The sequence below is a fragment of the Homo sapiens genome, chromosome 7 (genome assembly GCF_000001405.40).
Source record: "Homo sapiens chromosome 7, GRCh38.p14 Primary Assembly".
In the NCBI taxonomy this organism is placed as follows: Eukaryota; Metazoa; Chordata; class Mammalia; order Primates; family Hominidae; genus Homo; species Homo sapiens.
The window spans coordinates 131,330,652-131,357,491 of record NC_000007.14 but is presented as its reverse complement, the minus strand read 5'-3'; the positions used below and the strand labels follow the sequence as shown (position 1 = coordinate 131,357,491).

General features: G+C 35.5%; 1 protein-coding gene and 1 long non-coding RNA gene across 7 annotated transcripts in view; both read right to left on the bottom strand.

Annotated features, from left to right (window-relative positions):
- Positions 1-26,840, bottom strand: part of MKLN1 (muskelin 1) — a 386,539-nt gene that overhangs the window by 139,141 nt on the left and 220,558 nt on the right. The gene's annotated exons all lie outside the window — the stretch shown is intronic.
- On the bottom strand, positions 13,218-17,847 carry LOC124901747 (uncharacterized). Its single transcript, XR_007060525.1, has 2 exons — positions 16,104-17,847; positions 13,218-14,867 (listed from the first exon to the last, which is right to left on the bottom strand). It is a non-coding gene; the product is annotated as an uncharacterized LOC124901747 (long non-coding RNA).

Here is a 26,840-nt window from a genome sequence, read left to right as displayed (position 1 = left end):
CTCCACTCTAAGAACTGAGAGTACTCCCTCAGTATTGGCTGTGTATAATGGCTTCTTTCCAAAGTACAGTATGCAAAAGGGAAAATATTACAGTGGAGAAACCTGACAAACACCACCTCAGGGAGGTGATCAAGGGCATGCTTACAATATATTCCTTCCCAATCAACCCAAACTCCAGTAGAGGGGCATCCTACAATACACCTGTCCAGTACTCCTCGAAACTGTCAGTCCAAAACAAAGGAAGTTCGAGAAAACTGTCACAGTCAAGATGAGCCTGAGACATGACAAACTTGATGTGGTATCCTCAATAGGAACTTGGAACAGAAAAAGGACATTCGAGAAAAACTTAGGAAATTTAAATAAACTATGGATTATAGTTAGTAATGAACTATAAATATTGGTTCATTAATTCTAAGAAACAGAGCATATGAATGTAATACAGTAAGAATAGGGTAACTGGCACTTGGTTTCTCAAGTCACTCACTTGGTCCTCTTCCAAGGTGTACTTTCCTTCTTTCCTTTCCTTCCTTTCCTTACTGTTCTAAAGCTTTTTAACAAACTTGCACTCCTGCTCTGAAACCTGCCTCAGTCTCTCCCTCCTTCTGCCTTATGCCCCTCATTCGAATTCTCCTGAGGAGGCAAGAACTGAAGTTGTGGCAGACCCATACGGAATCGGGGTAACTTGGGTATCTGCCACCGGCAACATATTTGGCGCACACGATTTGGATACATTCCCTAGTGGCCATTAAGCTCCAGGTAATCCTCGATGAAGAATACTGTCCTTTCAATATTCAAGAATCACCCTTCTACAGGGGACCTCTAGACTGCCCATCAGTGGGACACGACAGAGGCGAAATCCTGCCCCTGTCTCCCTTGGGCCTGGCCGGATATCGCTTTCAACAACTCATGGAGCCAACTCAGCAATGACAGCTAGCAAGAGGCCAAGACCCATAGAACCACCACTGCCCCTCTGTCAGCAGGAAGCAGTTACAGAAGACTGACCTTCGTCCATTTAACCCCAAAGATTTGGGGTCTTGGACTCTTGGGGGGGGAAATGTTACAGTGGGTAGCTAGTCAGGTATGAGCAGGGCAGTAGGGGGCTCCACCCCACATGCACACCAGGAGTGTTAGGCGACCATCAGGTGATGGTCAGGCAGTTAACTGTTTCTCTAAAGTAATAACTGGTTGCAGCCGGAGCTAGGGAAAGGCAGGCTAATAGATATAAAACACCTGAAACTCATCAGCAGCTTCTCAATAAGATCTCAGGAGTGAGGAGAAGTAATGCAAGATCCCAAAGTATGCCAGCGTATAAAATCCCAAGTCAAGAGGTCAAGCTGCCGGTTTCTCAAGTCGCTTGCTTGGCCCTCTTCCAAGTTGTACTTTGCTCCTTTCCTTTTCTTCCCTTCCTCAAAAAAAAAAAAAAAAAAAATAGGGGAACTATTGGGAGGTATATACAAACTCTCTGTATTACATGCTCGATATTTTAGTAAATCTAAAACTGTTCTAAAGGATAAAGTCTAAAATTTAAGAGATAGAAAAAGTAATTACAAAGCATACAAATTAGAGTGTTTGTAGATGAAAAAATTATACAACTAGAAGATGCCAAAAGAATCAATGGGAAAAATACTATTTAGAATAGAAGAATTTAGTTAGAAAAAAATATCAAGGCTGGGTGTGGTGGCTCACACCTATAATTCCAGCACTTTGGGAGGCTGAGACAGGAGGATCACTTGAGCCCAGGAGTTTGAGGTTCCAGTGAGCTATGATCACACCACTATACTCCAGCCTGGACCAAAGAGACCTGTTTAAAAAAAAAAAACAAAAAACCCCAGAACTTAAAGCATATATATATATATATATATAGTATCAAGTTAAAGAAATCAGAGCCTTCAAACATAAAAGCGAAAAGCAGTTAGAAGATATAATGCAAGAGAAGACCTCTAATTACAACAATAAAATACAGTATTAGCCATAAGCTTAGAAAAATGTGCAAAACCTATGAGAAAATTGTTTTAAACAGTCCTGATATATACATATATATATGTATGTATAAGTAAACCTGGAAAAAATGCAAAGACATGCCATGTTCCTGCATAAAAAGACTCATCATAAAAATACAATTCTATGTTAACTTATAAATTTAATTAGACCCAAAAATAAAAACAGGTTTCCCTATGACCATACAACAAATAAGGCTGATACAGTTCACACAAATAATAAATTTCACATTAAAAATTAAAAGGATAAAAACAGCCAAAGAAACCCTGAAAAAGAGTAGAAGAGCAAGGAGAGAAGACTAGACCCTGTCAGATGTTAAAGCATATTATGAAGTCTCTGTAATTAAAGCAGCAAGATATTTATACATGAATACACAATCAGGAACAGAATACAAAACAGTGAAATAAAAGAGTGGGCTGACTGCAGTGGTTCGCACTTGTAATCCCAGCACTTTGGGAGGCCACGCAGTAGGATTACTTAAGGCCAGGAGTTCAAGACAAGCCTGGTCAAGATAGTGAGACCCTGTCTCTACCAAAAAATTTAAAAATAAAAATAAATAGAACAAAGCACATAAAATTTAATAAATGATCAAGATAGCATCATAAATCATTGGGGTTGGGGGAAATATGAGCTTTATAATAAATGATGTATTTAAATGTTTCGATAGATATAAATGATGTACAGCCATTTAGAAATAAAATTAGATTTGTGCCTCACATCATCCACCAGGTTAAATTCCAAATGAATCAGAAAACTAAATATAAAAACATACAAGTAACAGAAGAAAACACAGTTAAATCCTTTACATCCTGTCACTGAGAAGACACTCCCTAATTCAAAAATCCAGAAAAAAATAAAACTTGACACATTCAACTAAACAATGATGCAACCTTCAGAAGGGAAGAAATGAAACCATCCCTATTTTCAGATGACATAATTTGCCTACGTGAAAAATCCCACAAGATTTACGCCCCCCCCCACAAAAAAAAATCCTAGGACTAATGAGTTCAGCAACGTTGCAGGATATAAGATCAACAATCAAATGCATTTCTATATACTAACACTAAACATGTGAAACCCAAGATTAAAAGCACAAAACAATTTACAGTTGCTTTAAAGGAAATGAAGGAAGAATATTTTTAACAAAACATGTACAGGATGCTCTGTATCCTGAAAACTACAAAATGCTGATAAAAGAAATTGAAGAAGACCTAAATAAATGGAAGACATATTGTGCTCGTGGACTGGAAGACTCGACATAGCAATGATGGCAATTCTCCCAAAATGACCTACAAATTTAATGTAATTCCTATCAAAATCCCAGCAAGATTTCTTTTAGACATAGACAAGTTTACTCTGAAATTTACACATAAAACACAAGACCTAGAATAGCCAAAATAATTATTTAAATGAGAATAAAATGAGAGCGATCACTCTATACAATATTAAAGCTTGCTCCATTATAAAACTGCATAATCAATAAAGTATAATACTAGCAGATGGACAGACACATATCATTAGGACAGAATAAAAGGCCCCCAAAAGACCCACACATATATGCCCAACTGGTTTTTTTTTTTTTTTTTTTTTACAAAGGTACAAAAGCAATTCAACAAAGGAAGAATAGCCTTTTCAACAAACAGTGCTAGAGCAACTGGACAACTATAAGCCAAAAAAAAAAAATTGACCTAAAACTCATACTTCATTAAAAAAATTAATGAATCATGAATGAAAATGTAAAATATAAAACTATGAAACTTTAAAAAAATATAAACATAAGACAAAATCTTCACGGTCTAGGACTAGGCAAGGAGATCTTATACAAAAAGCAAAATGTATAAAAGGAAAAATTGAAAAACTGGACTTCAGCAAAATTAAAAACTTTTATTTTGAGAAAGACTTTTAAGTGGTTGAAAAGGTAAGCTAAAGACTGGGAGAACGTATTTCCGAACTACATACGCAACAAAAGACCTAAAACATACACCTAAACACACACCTAAAACATACACCTAAAACATACAAAGTACTCTTGACATCCATCAGGTAAAAGGCAAACAATCCAATCAGAAAATAGGTAAGACATGAATACATTCCAGTAAGCAGTTATACAGATAGCAAATAAACACGAGATGTGCAACATTACTAGCCATTAGAGGAATAAAAAAAAATCAGATATCACTATATGCCTATCATAATAGCTAAAAGATAAAACAGTGATGACACCAAATGCTCACAAGGATTCAGAGAAACTGGATCCCTCATACATTGTTGATGGGAATGTAAAATGGTAACCCATTTTAGAAAAGGGTATGAAGGTTTCTTACAAAACTAACCACTACAATCCAGCAATTGGACTCTTCGGCATTTTTCCTAGGGAAACAAAAACCTATGTTCAAACAAAAACCTGTACTCCAATGTTTATAGTAGCTTCATTTCTAATAACCCCAAAATGGAAACAATCTAGATGTTCATCAACTGCTGAATGGTTCAACAAATTGTGGCACATCTAAATGAATGGATACACATGTAGATGTTTGTATTTGCAGCGGAAGAACTAGCCCATTGTAAAGGGAATAAAAAGTGTTGAAGGGACAGAGGTGGAAGCTGCATAGTTTAAAATCTGAAACCATGCAAATGTTTTACATGCAGAAACAAAAACAGGAATCACTAAAAGCTGAAAATAAACTAAAACAAATGAACCTGTGTATCAAGTTGGTGACATAACCCACAGAAAATAATAAAAAGAATTATTCCAACTGACCTTAGGACACAGCATTTTTACTATCTTCAGTAGAAAACAGTCTAACGGCAAAAAGAATCTACAAAGAAATGTTAAACTTCACCCAGTAATAACACTGATATTACTTTAAATTTATGTTTTAAACATATTTATGTGCACCACACACACATAGATAGGGCCCAAAGCAATTATATTAATGTTAATACTGGGAAACATTTTCAACTTAAAAAAAAAAGTGTAAAATGAAAGAAGTTACAACCTCACAAATCAAATTTGAACTGGAAATAGCAGTATAAATTCAAGATATTTTTTCTCTTAAAAAAATTTATTTCCTAGCTCTATCACCTAGAAGGATCTAAAAGAAATGACAATCTGGTAACATTAAGTATCTCCATTTTCCAATTATGCACTCTGAACATCATTCTTCGACTAAAGCATGTTATATAAAGTCATTTTCCTATGCCAAAAAGCAAGAAAATAAAGAATGGGGTCATGTCAAAGGAACACAGGAGAGAGCCTGAAGGGACTCCCACTGGCCTAAGATGGAACCATCTGGCATCACAAATAATGACTACTGAAGTCATTTAAAACACAATGAATAAAGAGACTAATGTTCATAAATGCTTTTCGTTTTTAAAAAAGAAAAAATTAATTAGACACCTGGAGGTATATAACAACTCACTATGCTGAAAACTAGTGATTAAAAGGAAAGAATTAAGCATTTGTCTTGCTTTTCCAGTAGAACTGTATTTCAGAGTAACCAAAAAGCTCAAATAGACAAGGGAAAATTTTATCCAGGAAAATTACAGCTAGTAAATGTGAAAGGAATGGTAAGATGAGAGAAATCCAATTTTGATACTTCTACTGAAATAGTTTATTCTAACAATGAGTTATCTTTGGATATTAACACTATTAATGAAAAGTGGATGGCTTTACAAAAAAGTTGTCACCACCACATTTTGTGCCTCCTGAAGTGATAAAATACAAAGTATATGGCACCACCTAGGGAGTGGTCTTTCTAAAAAACTGATGGAGGCCAATGTGGGAGGATTGCTTGAGGCCAGGAGTTTAAGACCAGCCTAGGCAACACAATGAGACCTTGACTCTAAAAAAAAAATTTAAAAATGAGCCAGGCATGGTGGCACACACCTGTAGTTCCAGTTACTTGGGAGGCTGAGGTGGGAGGACCACTTGAGCCCAGGAGGTTCAAGGCTACAGTGAGCCATGATTGTGCCACTGCACTCCAGCCTGGGCAACAGAGCAAGACCCTGTCTCAAAAAAAATCTGATCCAAAATCTAAATAAGGCTTTCTGTTTAACTCCCAGTATATATAAAGCATGACAAATAGAGGAATTAGTCAAATGCCACCATAGAAACAACTGAACATATCTAGAATAGGGGAGCTTCTTCAGGACAAATGACCTGATTTCTTCAACAAATCAATGGATAAAAAGAAAACAGCAAGAGGATGGGAAGACTCTTCTTCTTCTTTTTGTTTTTTTAAAAGAGACAGGGTCTTGCTCTGTTGCCCAGGCTGGAGTGCGGTGGCACAATCATAGCTCACTGCAGCCTCGACCTCCTGGACTCAAGCAATCCTCTTGCCTCAGCCTCCAAAGTAGTTGGGACTACAGGTGCACACCACCACACCTGGCTAATGGAAGAACTCTTGATAAAAAGAATTGTAAAAGGGACATAACAACAAATGCAATAAGCGTTTGGATCCTGATTCGAACACACTATAAAAAGACATTTTTTAGAAAACTGAAAATTAAATATGGACTAGGTATTAATTGTAATTAAAGAATTACTGCTAAATCTGTTAAGTAAAATAATGACATTGTGGCCATAAAAGAAAATGTCTCTGGCAGGGCAGTTCAAAGATGGCCTCAAATGATCCCCACCACTGAGAATTCACACCATTGAGTAATTCCATCTCATTGTAATTTCATCTCATTGAGTGTAGGTTGGCCTAGTGACTTGTTTTTAATGAAGAGAATATGGCAAAGGTGATGGGACATCATTTCAGGGCCTAGGCTACATAAAACTGTGACTTCCACTTCACTAGCAGACTTTCCCTTGTTGGCATTGATGAAGCAAAACACCACATTAGAGATGCCCACGTGGCAATAAACTGAGGACAACCTCTGGGCAACAACTTGCAAGAAACTGAATCCTGCCAACAATCAAATAAGCTTAGAGGCAGATCTTTCCCCACTCAAGCCTTTAGGTGAAACCACAGCCCCAGCCAACATCTTGACTGTAGCCTTAGAGACCTGGAGCAGAAGACCTCTCAAATCTATGTCTAAACACTGGACCCTCATTGAGAAAATAAATTGTGTATTGTTTTAAGCTGCTAAGTTTGTAGCAATTTGTTATGGATTAATAGATAACGAAGGCCAGGTGCAGCGGCTCATGCCTGTAATTCCAGAACTCTGGGAGGCTGAGGTGAAGGAGTGCTTGAGCCCAGGAGTTTGAGACTAGCTTGGGCAACATAGCGAGACCCCAACTCTACCAAAAAAAAAAAAAAGATTTTAAATAAAATGAAATAAAAAATAACTAATAAAATGTCCTCTTCTTCATGTATACTGAAGTATTTAGAAATAAAATAACATAACTTATATTTACTTTAAAATATACCAGAAGAAAGAGAGGTGGGTACAAATACAGGTTGAAAATTACAGAATGTCAATGGCCTAGCAAATAGCAGACCATTGTAGTATCGTTAGTTACCATCACTCAAAGCAAAACTCAAGTCAACTTATCACTACCAAGCAACTGAAAATAAGCATGTAGTAATTATCTCTAAGGATTCAAAACACTTTGGGAACACATACCTACAACATACTCCACAAGAATGAATGGAGCGACCACTAGGAAAAAAGAATGGCAACAAAATAAAACAAACATTCCTATACAGAAGTTTGATAAAATAGGAAATTCTCACTAGACAAAAATGAAACTAAAAAGCTCGCTAACATGATTTGGTGTCTCCCCAAAACAAAAAAATCTATCTGCTGAGACACTCATATAAAAATAGTCCTCAATTGCTGAATATCTCAGAAGGCTTGAATTATCAATCTTTTCAGAAATTAAATGACCCTTCAGAATATATTTCAAAACAAAGAACTATCCCTTTTCTACCTAATGCAAAGATCATTAAATTTGGACATGATCTGGCAATGATTTACTGCTTAGTACACACATTCTTCAAACCTCAGACAATATAACAATATATTCACAGAGGGATTAGAAAGATTTAAGGCCGGGTGCGGCGGCTCATGCCTAAATCCCAGCACTTTGGGAGGCTGAGGCAGGTGGATCACAAGGTCAACAGATAGAGACCATCCTGGTCAACATGGTGAAACCCCGTCTCTACTAAAAATACAAAAAATTAGCTGGGCGTGGTGGCACGCACCTGTAGTCCCAGCTACTCAGGAGGCTGAGGCAAGAGGACTGCTTGAACCTGGGAGGTAGAGGTTGCAGTGAGCCGAGATCGTGCCACTGTACTCCAGCCTGGGCAACAGAGCAAGACTCTGTCTCAAAAAAAAAAAAGATAGATTTAAGAGATCAAACTGCTTCTAAGCACTCTCAAAGGCTTCATTTATATGTAATTAATTTTACTAAAATAATCATTATCATCTAATTATATCAAGTTCTTAAAATATCTTTGTTGGGCAACAATGTAGCTTAATATGAACTATAACATGTGGATGTGGGGGAGGGTGCATGTCTTTAAAAAATTACTCTGTAATATCAACTGTTTGCTATTTTGCATCAAAAAAATACCTTCAGAATCTAAATCCCTCATTTTGTATGAGAAAAAAATAAAAGGCTAGAGAAATTAAATGACCGATCTAAAACTACCAATTAATCGGTGGTAGAACTGGGATTAGAACTCAAGTCCCAGTCCTAGGTCAGTGTTCTCTCTATACCATACTGTCTCAATTCTTTCATGTTTTCCTTTGCATCAGATCCAGCTTTTGCCACAGTATAATACAATAATTTAAACTGTACTAAGGATGACAGGTCAAACCAATATTAACTAATCCAAATCTGCTTACTTAATAAGAACTCTCCTCTCATACCCATAATAGGTATCTTTGACCAATGCCCTAAGTCCCATGGTAAAGCATTTTTCAAACTCTCTTCCTCAGAGATACTCCAGAGGATCTACAAATATTTTTAAATTACATTTGTGGGACCCTGTCTTTAAAAAAAAAAAACCCAACGACTATAGTTAACTCTTAAAACTATTAAAAAATTCAGAAGTATTATACATCAAATATTACCGCAATGGATAATATCCTCTATAAAAACTTGTGTACCTTGTTTTGTGTTAGCTTTGGAATAAAACTTCTCCCAACATCTCTGCATATATATGAATTATTTTCTACATGTGTCCTTGATTAATGGCTGTAGTTGTATGCTGGACTTTCAAAAACTCATTTCCATATATATATCTGTTCGCATAAAATTCACAAATAAATTAACACCTAGAACATATCTGATAAATAGGCAAGGCTGTTTTAATGCTCTCTTCATATATTAATAAGAGATATGTCATATGGCAAATCACAATATAGATAGCTGTAGCACAGAATACAACTTTGGAGTGCTTTTCTGTTTAAAATAATATATGGAACATGAGCAGTTTAGTGATATAACTGAAATCAAGTTTATTACAGGTAATAACTCTCCTCACTCAACTGTCAGACAACTCACACTTATGTATCTTAGAGCTCTCAGCCTTTCCTTTGTTAAATACAGAATGTTCATCAGGTCACAAACCATTAGTTTGTTACTATACTATGATTACCTCACATGCCAGCCAACATTTGTTTCAAAAGCACTACTGTCTTTATAATTCGGTATCCATTTTTGCAATTTAAAAAATGTTATTGCACTGTATGAATGGAAAATAGAAACACAAAAGCTTACTAGTAATATTAATCCACTTGAAACAATAATAGGCATCAGATTAACCAAAAGAAAACTTCAGATACTAGATTTAACCAGTTTAAGTATAAATGAAATGCTGAGAAAACAGATTTTAAAATCACATCAAAAGGTAAAAGTAAACGAGCCAATTATGGATTTATTGACTCTCACCTCTAAATTCACTCTTTTTGTCTCCTCTTTGAAAATGGATTTGGGCCCTTTATTTTTCCTTTACCAGCTGGTGCAATGTTAAGCTGTGTCAGTAAGAGGGGGCAGGAGTCATCGCAGCAAGTAAGGGTTTTTTGTCTTTGGGTTTTTTTTGTTTTTGTTTGGCTTCTTGGTTCAGGTATGCTTGCCGTGCATGCTCTTGCAGCATACACAGCTTCTCTAGCTCTTCATTCCTGCCATACAGGTTTCTCCAGCATCAGGCTCCAGCAGCATATACAGCTTCAATGCCCAGTTCCTGTGCCTGAGCAGCTTCTCTAGCACCAGGTTCCTGCATCTGAATGCAGACTAATTATGGATACTTTTGCACTTACTCTCTTGACAATCAGCAAGGCTGTTCAAACTAATGACTTCAACTGAGCCTTTCTTTAGCTCAGATAAATTTTCCTCTATTTTTTCCTTTCGTTTCTATTTTGTTTCTAATCTCTTTCTAGGCCTATTATTATGTAGAAGGTGCAGGGCTGCTATATATAATTATGCAGGTTGCACCATGCACTAGAAGATCCCACTGAAGAGTGAAAGCTGAAATTCAGCCTGTGTCCCACCCATCAAGTCCTGTATCCCAGTCAAAGAGCATCATCTGCTCATTAAGCCATGTGTCCTGAAGGTGAGAAGGTGGACCTTCTGGATCAAGGCTAGCCTCCATTTCAATTTTTCATTAATATTTTCCTTATCTTTTTGCTTTTGTTTTAGATTCCAAGTCTTTTTTCTATCTATGCATGTAACTACAGAATAAATATATGTGTATATGTAATTATAGAAAAACAATCACTTTTGTGGGATCTTCATCATAGTCTAGTACTTTGGGCCTAGGCCCAAAATAATAGATTATTTTATAACCTAGGAGCATCAGCATTTTTAAAAGATTCACAAGTAATTCGAAAGTGCAAACTGCTGTCAGTTAATGGTGCACAAGCTTTTCTGCTCAAGTACCCTCTAAATTAATTTTGAAAATCTATGCACATCCTCAACATTTTTAAGTTGTAAAATGTTTCATACCTTATAATTGTTGCAAAGGTTGTGATTTCCAGTGTACTTTAAATATTGTTTTTTGGGTTTTTTTTTTTTTTGAGACTGAGTCTCGCTCTGTCACTAGGCTGGAGTGCAGTGGTGCAATCTCAGCTCACTGCAACCTCCGCCTCCCGGGTTCAAGGAATTCTCCTGCCTCAGCCTCCCGACTAGCTGGGATTACAGGTGTGCACCATCACGCCCAGCTAACTTTTATATTTTTAGCAGAGACAGGTTTCACCATGTTGGCCAGGCTGGTCTCGAACTCCTAGCCTCAAGTGATCCACCTGCCTTGGCCTCCCAAAGTGCTGGGATTACAGGCATGAGCCACCACACCCGCCCTAATATTGTTAATTTTTAATAAAGTTGTTATATGTGTTCTTTTAAAAGTATCAATAGAAGAAAAATACCATCATCTATTTTTTAAGTGAACAGCCTCTTCTTATACAGTCAAAAGTTTATATTATCTTGGTTTCTCCTTAAACTTCCCCCAAAGAATTTTACAAAATGTAAATGTAATTTTACTTATAGGCTGGAAGGTCTTTCATTTTTCACTCCTATGACTTCTCTGAGAAAATGCCACGTGAATTAAGATTAAACTTTTTTGGTTTTTGATCATGAGATTCCGAGTGATTTTTAAAATTTCTTCTGGATGTTATTATCAATTTCATAAGTATATTATTGACCAAAACAATATATTAAAAACTTTGACAGATGATGATTAAATATACAGTAAAGGTATTAGATACGATTCTCAAAGACACGTGTACTTTCAAAACAATTGTCTCATGTATATATGAATAAATATCACTGCTAGAATAAAATGGGATTCAACATCAACTCTGTACTTATTTTTAAATTTTTTTTTTGAGACACAGTCTCGTTCCATTGCCCAGGCTGGAGTGCAGTGGCATGAACATAGCTCACTGCAGCCTCGAATTCCTGGGCTCAAGTGATCCTCAAGCCTCAGCCTCTCAAGTAGCTAGAACTACAGGAGCACAACACCACACCCGACTAATTTAACGTTTTGTAGAGAAGAGGTCTCGCTATGTTACCCAAGCTATTCTCCAACTTCTGGACTCTATGATCCTCCCTTGCTCACATAAATAAATACAAGGGAGCTGAAGGAATTTCTGTTACTACAGTTTGAGAATCTGAAAACCCAAAATCAGAAATGTTCCAAAATCTGAAAACTTTTTGAGTTCTGACATGACACTGCAAGGAAATGCTCATGGGAGCATTTCAGACTTCAAATTTCAGATTAGGGATGCTCAACTGCTAAGTATATATTAACATAATGCAAATATTCCAAAATCGTAAAAATTCCAAAATCCAAAACACTTCCGGTCTTAAGCATTTCAAGTAAGGGATACTCAACCTGGACTGTTCCTGTACTACTAATTTTTTTTACCACCTTCCAAATTACATGCCAAAAATCGCATAACGAGCTATCATTAAAAATATTTATGATCTATCAGTCCAGGTGCGGTGGCTCATGCCTGTAATCCCAGCACTTTGGGAGGCCAAGGCGGGTGGATCGCCTGAGGTCAGGAGTTCGAGACCAGCCTGGCCAACATGGTGAAACCCCGTCTTTACTAAAAATACAAAAAAAAATTAGCCAGGCGCAGTGGTGCGTGCCTGTAATCCCAGCTACTCGGGAGGCCGAGGCAGGAGAATCGCTTGAACCCAGGAGGTGGAGGCTGCAGTGAGCCAAGATGGCGCCACTGCACTCCAGCCTGGGCAACAGAGCAAGATCCAGCTCAAAAAAAAAAAATTATTTATGATCCATCAACTGACAAATTGATTAGGTCCTCCTTTTATTTTGTTTAAAAGAATTGAGAACCACGTTTTTTGCATTTAACAAACAACCAGCAATAACAATACTGCTGGTGAATAGACCACACTTTTGAGGAGCAAGGGCATAAGCCACAGGCAAGTTCTTAGGCAGATCAATTTTAGGAAAGAATACACAAGAACAGTAAGGCTTAGGAAACTGAGTATTTTAAAACTATTTTTGCCCGCATACCCAGTGGAAGGTCTACGTGTAATCCCAGGGATAAGCATGCCTGAATTTGATGATACTCAAAATTAGCTACTAAAAACTGAAATTGCTGGGTCATAAGAGTACTTAAAATTTTTAATTTTAAACCATAGACTTAACTTTATTCACATCACTTTTCTATTAAAAAATCCTTTGATAGCTCCTCACTTTAAAAAAACAAAAAGAAACTCACTAACATGGGACATAGGATCCTATATAATTTGTGTTTATAATCAAAGCAATTCACACAAACACAACAATTCTCTATTTTTTCTTAGTTAAAAGTAGTATTTATTATTTGCTAAAATGAGATAATATTTAACATTTCAGGCAATACCCAAAGAAAAGGCACTTAAAAAATAAAAATCACCCCAATTACTACAACCCAGAGATAATCACTTAATATTTTGGTAAATATCCTTGCAATCTTTTCTATATACACAGGCATACAAATCATGTGTCTGTGTTTTTAAAATATAAATTGAATCAAACCGTTTTAAAATCAGGGTTTTTTTGCTGTTTTCTCTTTTACATGCCATTGTATCTGAAGCATTTTCTCTATATCATTAAAAAATATTCTAAAACTTACATGTGGCAACCCAATATCCCATCATAATTCAAGGATATATCAAAAGACTGTCTCATTAAATCCAATAAATCTTAGGGCAACACATCTCTATCAACAGCATTAGATATCTGCCAGAAGATTAATTTGCAATTCACACATTCTCAGATTTATATAAAAATAAGTGCTGCCCTGTATGCCCCGGAAAAGCAGGTTAGAATACCATAAAAAAAATCAAGATATCTTCATTTCCTCAAAAGAGTAAAATAAAATTCAAAGAGTTCTATTTTCAATATATTTAAATTTTTTACAGAGTAGTACATCCCCTAAATGCATTTGTGATAAGTGCTTGTTATCTTCTGATATGCAGAATCATAAAGAAACTATAAATAAACAGAAGGGAATTCATTGACAAATAATGAGGAGAATAAATGTTAATTATGCAGAGAGGAAAGTGGCAAGTGACTTTGGAACAGTATCAGCCAAGCTACCTTCAATAAATACAATAGTGTAACTATAAAATAAATCTTAACAAAAACTGAAAAGACTTACTAAAAGCATTAAAAAGGGTGAATGTGGAAAGAAATAAGGATAAGAACACCACTTCATATACACAAAGTCTAAGAAAGAAGTACATGATCAAGGACCCAGCCCATTAAGTGTCTTGTATAAACTTTAGGGAAAAGTCTACCTCCAAGTATCTTTCTGGTTATGACGTGCTACACTAGTCAATCTCCTAAATTGGAGCTGATGAATATGCACATGGGTAAGGATAAATTCCTACATTCAAGAAATGCAAAAAAATGGCAAAAGAAATTAAATCAGTACCCAAAGGAAGGCATAGCTCATCTTCCTCTTTCAAAGTCTCCCCTTAAGCCTTACCCAACAGTGGAAGCGCAATTCTCTGAATTTCAGTTCTGCAGCATTTACTGCTTTTGTCACTTACTCATACTTAGCCTTTGCTACCTCCTATTGAACCATGTATGGACAGTGTATCACCAGAGATTCTCTCTTCTACCTTCTAATAGATTAGGCTATTATCTGGAATCAGTAAGCACCTAATAATCTGTTTATGGTAAAAATAGGAATTTCAAAAGCCATAATACCACTATATAGCAATAAAAATATACATTTTTTAAAAAGGTTTGTCTTTAACCTGTCACCCATCATAGCATTTTAGGTTGTAGAAAATAGAGATCTCCATAGATGCGAAAGACTTAAACTTTCAGACCTAGATGTATGAATTTTCCAATCATCTGAAATTCTAAGCTCTGGAAGAAACTATTTTGTTAAACTAGAAGTTATTTTCAGCTTTTCAAAAATCTATGTCTCTCACTTCCCAGTCATCAATGCTGAAAGAAACAAAGAGAAAAAGATTAATTTGTTTTTAAAAAACCTGTCTTCTTTTGTGTAAGGAAAGAATTCATAAACAAGTTTCACTGCTTCCAAAAATATCTCCCATTTGATATTTCATATATAAACAAACGATATAAATTTTAGGAAAAAACACCGAGTTTCAACTATTGTCCCCAGCACAAACTGCTTAGCAAAGTATTATATGTGTACCTATGTGTGTACATGTCTGTACACTGATAGGTATGTATCTTCAAATATGAAGGCAGGGAGCTAATTCATGTATTCTCAAGAAAAATAAGGAAGATAAAGGACTAGCTAAACTGTCACAGAAAATTCTCAAAGTAATACATTTGAAGTCAAGCAATTTGCGATCTAATCCCAAATGATCACTTTCCTTACAGGGCTTCAATTCATATGCATTAAACGGTTTCTTGACACTACATAATAACAGAAAAAAAAAAAAATCAACAAAAAATCTGGCAGTTTCTCCAATAACGAAATCATAGTTAGCAAATGACCCAGAAATTCCACTGCTGGACATATACCCAAGAAATGAAACCATGTCCACAAAAAACTTGTATGAATGTTTATTATAGCAGCATTATTCATAATAGCCAATAAGTGGATATAATCCAAATGTCTATCAACTAATGCAGGGATCCCAAACCCCCAGGCCACAGACCAGTACTGGTTCCTGTAAGGAACTGAGATGCACAGCAGGAGGTGAGTGGCGGTGGGTTAGCAAGCATTACTGCCTGAGCTCTGCCTCCTGTCAGATCAGCATAGGCATTAGACTCTCATAGGAGCACCAACCTACTATGAACTGCACATGCAAGGGATCTAGGTTGGGTGCTCCTTATGAGAATCACTGTTGTTGTTGCTGTTTTGGTTTTGTTCCTTATAAGAATCTAATGCCTGATGATCTGAAATGGAACAATTTCATTCTGAAACCATCCTCCCCCATCACACCCCATCCATGGAAAAACTGCCTTGCACAAAGTCAGTCCTTGGTGCCAAAAAGGTTGGGGACCACTGTACTAATAAACGGCTAAACATAATGTGGTATATCGATACAACAGAATACTTACCAGCAATAAGAAGGATGTAGTACTGATACATGATACAATATAAACTTTGAAAACAACATCCTAAATGGAAGCCAATCACAAAAGGCCATAAATTATATGATTCCATTTATAGAAAATGTCTTAAATAGGCAAATCTATACACACCAAAAGTAGTTTAGTGGTTGCTCAGGGATGGAAGAATAAGTGGATAATAGCCAAAGGCTACAGTTTTCCTTTTGAGATTATGAAAATGTTCTAAAATTGACTGCAATGACGGTCACATCTGTGAATGTACAAAAAATCCATGAATCTAATACCCTAAAGTAGAAGAACCGTATGGTACATAAATTACATCTCAAAAACACTGTTACATTAAAAAAAAAAATCAACCAACAAATAATTATGTTCAAAGAATTAGAGGAAATGATCCCTAACTTAAAATTAATCAAAATACTGATACTCAAAAACTATTAAAAACTATTAGGCAACTCAGATTCTGTAATAAACTGCACTCTATAAATTTTTCAAGGTCTCATTAAAAATATTACCTATAAAATCATAAATAACTTCATAATAAAAATATTTTAAAACTCAAAGATTTAAATAAAAAGCTTTCTACTGTTACAAGTCTTTCCAAATATAATACCTCCACCCTAGATATAACCAATTTCACTTAAGACACTCTCAGATTTTGCTGAAACTCATTGAAAAAAATACAGAATGGACTTAAAACACTAATGTGACATTCTGAATATGGCCAGTATGACTCCTTACAGTCCTAAACCAAAACTGCACTAAAAAGAGAAAATTAATCAAAATGGCTAGTTAATTCACTCATTTACTCATTTAATAAATATTATGCTTGGACTACAAGGATGATGGAGGAAAATTCCATACATTCTATGGAGTTTTTGGTCTAGTTGGGAAGATAGCTATTAATCAAGTAATTATACATTTTAATACATAATTACAGGAAGCCGGGCACGGTGGCTCACGCCTGTAATCCCAGCACTTTGGGAGGCCAAGGCAGGTGGGTCACCTGAGGTCAGGAGTTTGAGACCAGCCTGGCCAACATGATGAAACTCCGCCTCTACTAAAAATACAAAAATTAGCCAGGCGTGGTGGTGCGCACCTGTAGTCCCAGCTACTTGGGGGGGCTGAGGCAGGAAAATTGCTTGAACCTGGGAGGCAGAGGTTGTAGTAAGCCAAGATCGCACCACGCACTCCAGCCTGGGCGACAAAGCGAGACTCCATCTCAAAAAAAAAAAAAAAAAAAAAGCCGTAATTACAAACTGTAAAAAATGATAGATAGGTACACACTGCTATGAAAGCATTTAAAGGCCAGGGGAATGGGTGCCAGAACAAAGGGGAAAGGGGGGTCAGGCAGGATTTCCTGAGAAAGTGACATTTTAGCTGATAGCTCGAGAATAAACAGGAGTTAGATTTTATGACTTTTCTGATGGAACTTCTTAATCAAAAGGGAAAAGGGAAGAAAGAGGACAGTGACAGGAAGGGAAAAGAAACATATCCAGGGTTGTTTAAAGTAGCTTATTATACCATTTCTATGTATATAAGACAACTTCTTTAACAAAAAATACATAGGTGATACTGGCCATAATAAATATTAGTCATACTAAAAAAAAAAGTAGGAATATTTTTAAAGTATTAAATACTAACATTTACAAAACCAAAGTTTACACCAAACCCAATTATCTTCCTTCTAAACCTACATCTTCACATAAATATAAGATTCCATAAAAGTCCTAACAAAAAGGTAAATAATTTAAAAATCCTATTATATGAAGGGAAATACTATACTTATAGAAAGATTAAACTCTCAATTTTTTTTTTTTTGGAGACTGAGTCTCCCTCTGTCACCCAGTCTGGAGTACAGTGGCACGATCTCAGCTCGCTGCAACCTCCACCTCCTGGATTCAAGCAATTCTCGTGCCTCAGCCTCCCAAACAGCTGGGAGCACAGGCATGCACCAACACATCCTGCTAATTTTTGTATTTTTAGTAGAGACGGGGTTTCACTATGTTGGCCAGGCTGAATTCCTGACCTCAAGTGATCCACCCACCTCGGCCTCCCAAAGTGCTGGGATTACAGGCACGAGCCAGTGCACCCGACCAACTCTCAATTTCTTAACCTTATAAACAAGTAAGTCTCAAAAGAAATGTGCAAATCACCAATGAAACCAAAAATAAAATCTCATTTTAACTCTTAATAAGCATTTAAAACAACTGCTTAACAATAACTTCTCAGTTTTTTGGCTAAGAACAAGAATAAAACAACTGCTAACAAATCATGTTACAGTCAGTTGACCCTTGAACAATGTGGGGCCTAGGGGCGCCAACTCCCATGCAGTTGAAAAAGCCATGTATGACTTTTGACTCCCATAAAACTTAACTGCTAATAGCTTACTGTTGACTAGAAGCCTTATCAATAACATGAATAGACAATTAACACATATTTCATGTGTTACGTGTATGACATACTATATTCTTACAATAAGCTAGAGAAAGGAAAATGTTATTAAGAAAACTATAAGGAAGAGAAAAAATATTTACTATTCATTAAATGGAAGTGGATCATCACAAAGGTCTTCATTGTTGTCATCTTCACGTTGAGTAGGCTGAGAAGGAGAAAGAGAAGGGATCGACCTTTCTGTCTCAAGGTGGCAGAAGCAGAAGAAAATCACGTGTAAGTAGATCTGCAAATTCAAATCCATGTTGTTCAAGGGTCAACTGTATTTAAGTTCCACAATTCTTTCCCATCAGATAGCAAGAATAAGCAGTTAATGAAGGAAAACACTTAGCAAGAGACCAAAGAACTCTGGGGATCAAGTCGTACGTTTTTACATTAATATAACCATGAGAAACTCACAGGCCTACAAGATATAACACTCTATTCCAAAAGAACTAAACACAGAAAGATTTCTGCTTTTGAATATGACGGAATAGTCTGTAGCAGATCAACACTCCCTCTTAAACTAGAAAAACTGTATTAAATAGGGAGAAAGTTCTTAAAATATCAGACTTTCTGAGGTAGCTAAGACTTGAGGTGGCAAGAAACTCACTGAAGGGTATCTGACATTCTGTGCAGCTTTCCCTTTCAAGACATGTCACCTATTTCTTTAATGGCACAGGCCAAGGGGCTAAGAAGCCAAAAAAGGACAGCCACTAGGAGGCAGAGAAGTCAGCAAAGCTTTTGGCAATTTCATGGGAGTAGGGGGACAAAACTTGGTAGCTAAGTCTTGAGGAGTCAAGATCCCCTAGTGAAAGAAGGCACAGAAGAACAAATGTGACACTCAGTACTGATTTTCCTCTTAAGGGATTTATCAGCTTTTAAACTGCACATAGCAAAAGGCTAAAAAGCCAGCAGAAAGCAATTAAAAAGGAAGAAGGAGCTTTTAAAACTCTCATGGGTCTGGAAAGAAAAAAAGCCAGAGAAGCCCTAAAAATACCCAATCTCTTAATTGAGATCTCTAGGGGGCTACCAAGTTGGAAGCAAACTACAGGTAGAACAAGGTTTATAAGGCTGAAAACCCAACCTCAAGTCAGCTCAGTCCTTGACAGTTGCAGTGATCTCTATCTGCCTGCAAGAAGATGGGTGAATCTGAAGACATGTGAATCCTATCTGGGGAAATGTATCATTATAGATACAAAATTTGTATCTAAAATTCTGCATATAATGTCTGGCACTCCATCAAAAAATTGCCTAATAATAATTATTACTATTATGTTATTATCCACATGTAATAATTTATATAATATACAATAGAATATATAATTAACATACATTAATATACAAATATATTAACTATTATTATTATTTGGCCTAACAAGATGCAAAATCAAAAGGAAAGAGATGATGGAAATAGGCCTATAGGTGATACAGATATTGAAGTTTTCAGACACAGACTTTAAAGCAATTTGATTAATATGCTCAAAAAATACATGACAAGAGATTTTCACATAATTAGAATCTATCTTAAAAAGAGAGGATGAAATAATTCTAAAACTAAAAAATACTATAACTAAAATTAAGAATAGATGGGGTTAAAAAGCAGATTGGACATAGTTAAATTCAGAATAAGTGAACTGAAATACAGTCAAGTAAAAACTATCCAGAACGGATAAGAGGAGGAAAAAAATCATAAAAATAACAGAAGAGAGCAGGAGACATATGGGGGATAAAAAGTATAATAAAGATTTAATTGGAGTCACAGAGCAAAGGAGACAAAAATGGGGCAGAAACAATATTTTTAAAAAGTCAAAATTTTTTCACAGCTGATCAGTCATACTACAAATTCAAGAGGTGCCAGAAACGCCAAACAGGGTACAAACAAAACCATTCTTAGGTGCATCACTGAAAGCTGTTTAAACTTAAAGAAAAAGAGAATGACAAAAAGAAAGGCAGCTGAACAAGAAAGTCATACTACCTTCCAAGAAGCAACAGTAAGTCTGACGGCTGATTTTGCAACAGAAACAATGGAAGCTAGAAGACAATGAACTGAGATCTTTAAAGTGCTTCAAGAAAATAACAGCTAATAATGTAGAACTGTACAGTCATTTAATATATTCTTCAAAGATGAAAATAAATAAATTTCAAACAAGCAAAAACTGAGAATTCAGTACCACCAAACTCCCTAAAAGGAGTTCTTCAGACAGAGGAAAATTAATCTCAGATGGAAGCATGTAAATACAAAAGGAAATAAAGAACAATGGAAAGGGTAAATATTAACTGTACAAAACAACAGTCTCTGGATTTAAATGTAGACGTGAAATGCATGACAATGACAACATAAAAGCAGGAGAGTGATAAATGCTATTAAAGTTTTCTAGGGTCCTAACAATGTCTGAGATGTTGTTTTTCAAAATCCTAATGAATATGCAACTCTAATGTACCACAAGAAAGCTTGTGGTGATCTAGCGTAACCACCAAAAGAACAGTAACAGAATATATAACTAACAAGCTAACAAAGGGAGGAATAAAATAATATTTTTAAAACACTTGATTAATCCAAAAGAAGGCAACAATGGAGAGAAAATAGAATATAGAACAAGTAGGACAAACAGAAAACAATAAAATGACAGACATAAACCCAAATTTATCAATAATTATATTTACCATTAATGAGCTAAATATATTTCAGATTTAATTAAAAACAGGCAAACAAAAATCTGTTTATTCTTAACAAGAAACAGACCCCAAATATAAAGCTACAGGAGCATTAAAAGCAAAAAGGAGAGAGAAAGTTTTACCATGCAAGCAAACAGCAGCCAAAATAAAGCAGGTGTAGCTAAGAAGACTTTGAGGCGAGAGACAAGTGTTACTAGAGATAAAAAGGGACATGTTATAATGATAAAGAGCCAATGTACTAGAAAGATAAGTTTGTATGTGCCTAGTAATATGACTTCAAAATACATAAAGCATACAGTTTAGTTCTTTATAGAACTAAAAGGAGAAATATACAAATCCACAATCACAGTAAGACACATTTGACACTTAACCTCAAGACACCTCTCTCTGTAATGAATAGAAAAAAAGGCAAAAAAAAAAAAATTCAGTAAGGATAGAGAAGATTTGTACAACACAATAACACAATTTACAAACTTGAACTTAACAAAGTACATAGAAGACAGTAGTTAACAGCAGAATGCATAGTCTTTTCAAGGGTACATAAACATTTATAAAAATGCTGAGCCATAAAATAAGTATCAATAAAGGTCTGAAACTATTCAGAGTGTGTTCTCTAATCATAGTGAAATTAAGAAATTAGTAACAGAAAGATAACTAGCAAATCCCCAAACGTTCAAAAAGTAAGCAATACATTTGTTAAAAAAAAAAAAAAACCTACAGGTCAAAGAATAAGCCAAAATAAAATCTGAAAAACATTTTTGCATAAATGATAATGAACATGTAACATACCACAATTTGTGGGATACAGCTAAAATGTGTTGAGAGGAAACCCTATAGTCTTAGGACTAAACATAGCCTAGTTTTCCAATTATTATTAACAACCAATTCAAAATATAAGTTATGTTAGGGTACTTCAATCTAGTTAGCTGCCATTCAACAACTTTTTTAGGGACAGATTTATATTAGACTACTTAAATTATTCCTAGATAATGACTATGATATTTCCTTTCTCTTTGTATACTTTTTTAAACATGGATTAATCTTAATCAGTAAAATTTCATCATAAGCAAAACCCATTAAACAAACAATATCTTTGTTTATCTACAGCATAAATATACATACACAGTATTCTACAGAATGTTACTTTGACTTCACAGATTTTTAGAAATATTCGTAACCAAGTCCTGAAGTTCTCATTAAACAACAACAAAAAAATTTTCTAACTGAAACATCTTCCCAATGTGCAAAGATGTTAAAAAATATTTTCTTCAAAAGTCCCCCATATTAATAGATTTTAATACTGCTGGACTTCTCAGAGCTTTATCTGACCACCCCTTAATAAGCAACAATCTACAGAACCAGCCATTCACAAAACAAGCCCTGGGAAATCCGGTAGCAGAGAAGATACCCGGATCAACTATCCTAAGATTGAACCTATAAAGACCTAGAAATTTTATAAATTTTCTATTGTCTCTTATCAGAGATTTCTGACAAATGGTATTATAAACAAACAGTAATTAGGGATCTCTAAATTCTCAACTGTACATTCTTTGAAACATTTTATACATATTAAAATGTCTATAAATAGCTGTATCTCTAAAATTAAAGTCTAGAAAATCTTTCATATTTCCAAAAACGATTTTTGAATGACTGAAATACAGCAAACTCATTGCCACAAGTGGCTGAAATGTATCTTATCTACACGTAAAACATCACAAAGTCTTTGTATCAGGCCAAAAATCATTTATTAAAAATCTATTTAAATATTTACCTAAAAGTTAACGCAAATAATAGAACCATTTACCCATGTGCCCAAAAAATTGTACATAAACCTCTCAACATTTGATCAAGATAAAAAGTATTTCTACACAAGAAACTGACGCTCAGAAAAGAATCATAACTTGCCAAAAGTCACAAATATCTAATTCTAGGAATCAGCTCTGTAGACTCAAATTCTCATCCTGAGTACATTTCTTCCATCTTGAGTGTTTTTATTTTTCTGAAGTTCTAAGAGTCCCAGACTGAAAAACACAGAACTTTCAGTGGCCAGTAAGGTTCCCAAACAGGGCCAGTGTCCTTAAATCTCAGTTTAAGATAGGGAGAAAAGGGAGAAAAGGAAGGGCATAATAGTATCCGGTCTCCTGGGAGTTGCATGCCTCCAAACTAGTGGTTCACAAATTCTGGGTTGCAGGAGCCTACAGAATTATTGTAACAAGACCTCAAATCCATTTTCATAACCACCATTATCTGTACACCAAATACAATAAATATATTCTATTTTTCAACTATATGTGATTAATAAAATCAAAATTCACTTAAAAGCTAAAGTAAAGGGATAGAGAAGGAAGAAACAAAAAAGTTATTGGGAGCATTATCACTTTTGAATTATATAAGCATCCTCTAGACATCTCTACGGACCTGTCTCTGATTTAAATATGTTTTCTTCCAAATTACCAAGGATAATGCCAAAATGAACTCAGAGTAGTCTACACAGATAGAAGGAAAATAAACTGATACCTTTAATCCAGCAACTCAACATCTAGGAATTTATCACCAATGAGTTCAAAATTTTTTTCCAGGCTGGGTGTGGTGGCTGTAATCCCAACACTTTGGAAGGCCGAGGTGGGCGGATCACCTGAGGTCAGGAGTTCGGGACCAGCCTGACCAACACGGAGAAACCCCGTCTCTACTAAAAATACAAAAAATTAGCTGGGTATGGTGGCACATGCCTGTAATCCCAGCTACTTGGGAGGCTGAGGTAGGAGAATCGCTTGGACCCGGGAGGCAGAGGTTGCGGTGAGCCGAGACTGCGCCATTGCACTCCAGCCTGGGCAATAAGAGCGAAACTCCGTTTCAAAAAAAAAAAAATTTCTGTAAAGCAAAACTACCTCATGACTCATAATAGTCAAATAACAAGAAACACAAATGAAAATAAAATAAAACCACAAAGCCTAAATGTCTAATAACACGGGACCAATTAAACAAAATGACATAAAGTCATTACATGGAATATAATGTATCCATAATAAATTTTGGCTGGGCACAGTGGCTCACACCTACAATCGCAGCACTTTGGGGCACTGAGGTGAGAGGATCACTTGAGCCCAGGAGCTGGAGACCAGCCTGGGCAACATAGTGGGACCCCATCTCTACAAAAAAATTTAAAAAATTAGCCAGGCATGGTTGGCTGGGCATGGTGGCTCATGCCTGTAATCCCAGCACTTAGGGAGGCCAAAGCAAGTGGATCATTTGAGGTCAGGAATTCAAGACCAGCCTGGCCAACATGGTGAAACAGTGTCTCTACCAAAAATACAAAAATTAACCAGACGTGGTGGTGCACGCCTGTAATACCAGCTACTTAGGAGGCTGAGGCACAAGAATTGCTTGAAGCCAGGAGGCAGAGTTTGCAGTGAGCCAAGATGGTGCCACTAAATTCCAGTCTGGGTGACACAGCGAGACTCCATCTAAAAAAAAAAAATTAGCCAGGCGTGATGGCATGTGCCTGTAGTCCCAGCTACTTGAGAAACTGGGGCTGGAGGATCGCTTGAGCCCAGGAGGTCGAGGCTGCAGTGAACTATGATCATGCCACTGTACTCCAGCATGGGTGACAGAGCAAGACCCTGTCCCTTTAAAAAAAAAGAAAAAAAATACAATATAGAAGAATATTTAATAACATAAGGAAGTATTTACTATATGTTAAGGAGGAAAAAGCAAATACAGAACAGCAAACAGGACAACAGTAAATTGAAAAATACATACATCTACAGTAAAAGATCTGGAATGATAATAAACAGTATTTAAAGGGTGACTAGTAATCTTTAGGTAGTGATATCAAGGGTAATTTAAATTTTGTTTCTGTGGGTCCATATTTTACAAATATTCGATAATAAACATAGAGCATTTTTTACATCAAAATATATATTAAAAGATATATAAAATATATTTTAATATATATGATATAAAAAGTGTCTATTTTTTTCTTAGACATGGGGTATTGACGAGATGCTGTCTTTTTCTTTTGTAGAGACAAAGAAGAAAAGAATATATATATATTTACATATTTTTAACATAATAATATATAACTATGCACATATATTTTATGTAATAAAAATATATAAATATTTATATATTTTTTTTCTTTTGTAGAGATGGGGTATGTTTCCCAGGCTGGTCTCAAACTCCTGGTCTCAAGTGATGGTCCTGCCTCAGCCTCCCAAAGTGCTAGGATTACAGGCATGAGCCACCGTGCCTAGCCTATATTCATTTTTAAATGTGAAATTTTAAAATTAGTTTTGAAAAGAGTTGAAATAAATTCACCTTCTATTCTAGTTGTCAAATCATAACACTTGTACTCTGAACCATGAATCAATCACATGTTGACACAAGGTACTATTTTAAGTACTATTTGATTTTAAGTAATAAGACTAACAGGAAAAAGGTAAACACACTTAAAAATCTATCAGATTTTATCATCTAAATTATCTAAGTCATTCAATAATATGTAAACAAGATAAGAATCATTCTATACCAATGAAATTACCTAATATGTAAAAAATACTTTCAAAGTTTCTCCCAGTTCTCATATGAGTATACTAAAATCTTAAACATCAAGATAAAATCTATTTTTCCCTCTCTTGCTGTTCTAACCTTAGAGCGCTTATCTGTAATCTCAATTAGACATATACAATAGCCATGTATAATAATGAACAGCTTTCGTAACAGAAGTCAAAAGGCCCAATATGAGAACCTTATCACCTACATTTTCTTCCTCCTCATCATTATTATTATTGCAGATGGGGTCTCATTGTGTTGCCCATGCTGGTCTCAAACTCCTGGGCACAAGTGATCCTCCTGCCTTGGCCTCCCAAAGTGCAGGGATTACAGGTGTGAGCCACCCTGCCCTGCCCCTCTTACATTTTCAACTCTTAGACCTGGGCAAGTTAACTTACCTCCCTAAATCTCACTTTTCCTAGCTCTAAAATAGAATAATAATATTTATCTCATAGGGTTTTTGTGAAGACTATTATATCAAAGAACACATGCTAAATGCTCAGTACAGTGCCTGAAGAATAGAAAGTACTCAATAAGTGGTGACTGTTATTAAAGTCACAATGCAATAGTTTTTAAGTCAGAAAACCTGGCAAGCCTCTGGAAAACTATATGACCCTGGGCAAGCTACTTACCCTGTATGGACCTCAGTTTCATCCTCCACAAAACATATATAAAATACCTATCTTACAGGTATGTACCAAGAATTAAACAAAACTGTATACAAAAAGCATCTTGCATATATTAGGTGCTCACTAAATTGTAACTAGCATCATTATTAGATACAAAAATAAACATTTGAGTACAGGGATTAGCAGTTTACAAAATATTTTTATGTATAAGAGTATATGTAATTTTATGAATTATTTAAATAAGTGTATTTAATTATTAAATTAGGTGTAAATTTCAGAAAAAAAGTAAAATACAGGCAATCTCTAAGCACACAAAAATAAAAGGCCTTTTTTTAGTCTCAAAGTAAAAATGTGTTCCCTATAACTGAATCTGCTTTAACATTTTTAAAGTCCAAATAAATTAAAAAGAGTTGAAAGGGGAAATATTTGTTTTTTCTGCCTCTGGAAGAAGGGGAAAAGAATTCTAAGTCCTTAGAAAGAAAATAGAGATAAAATTGTTCAATTTTTTTTAATGACTTCACATTTCTTTACACAACTAAAATGTAAGTGCCTTTAATACAAGAGCTCTTTTAAAGTT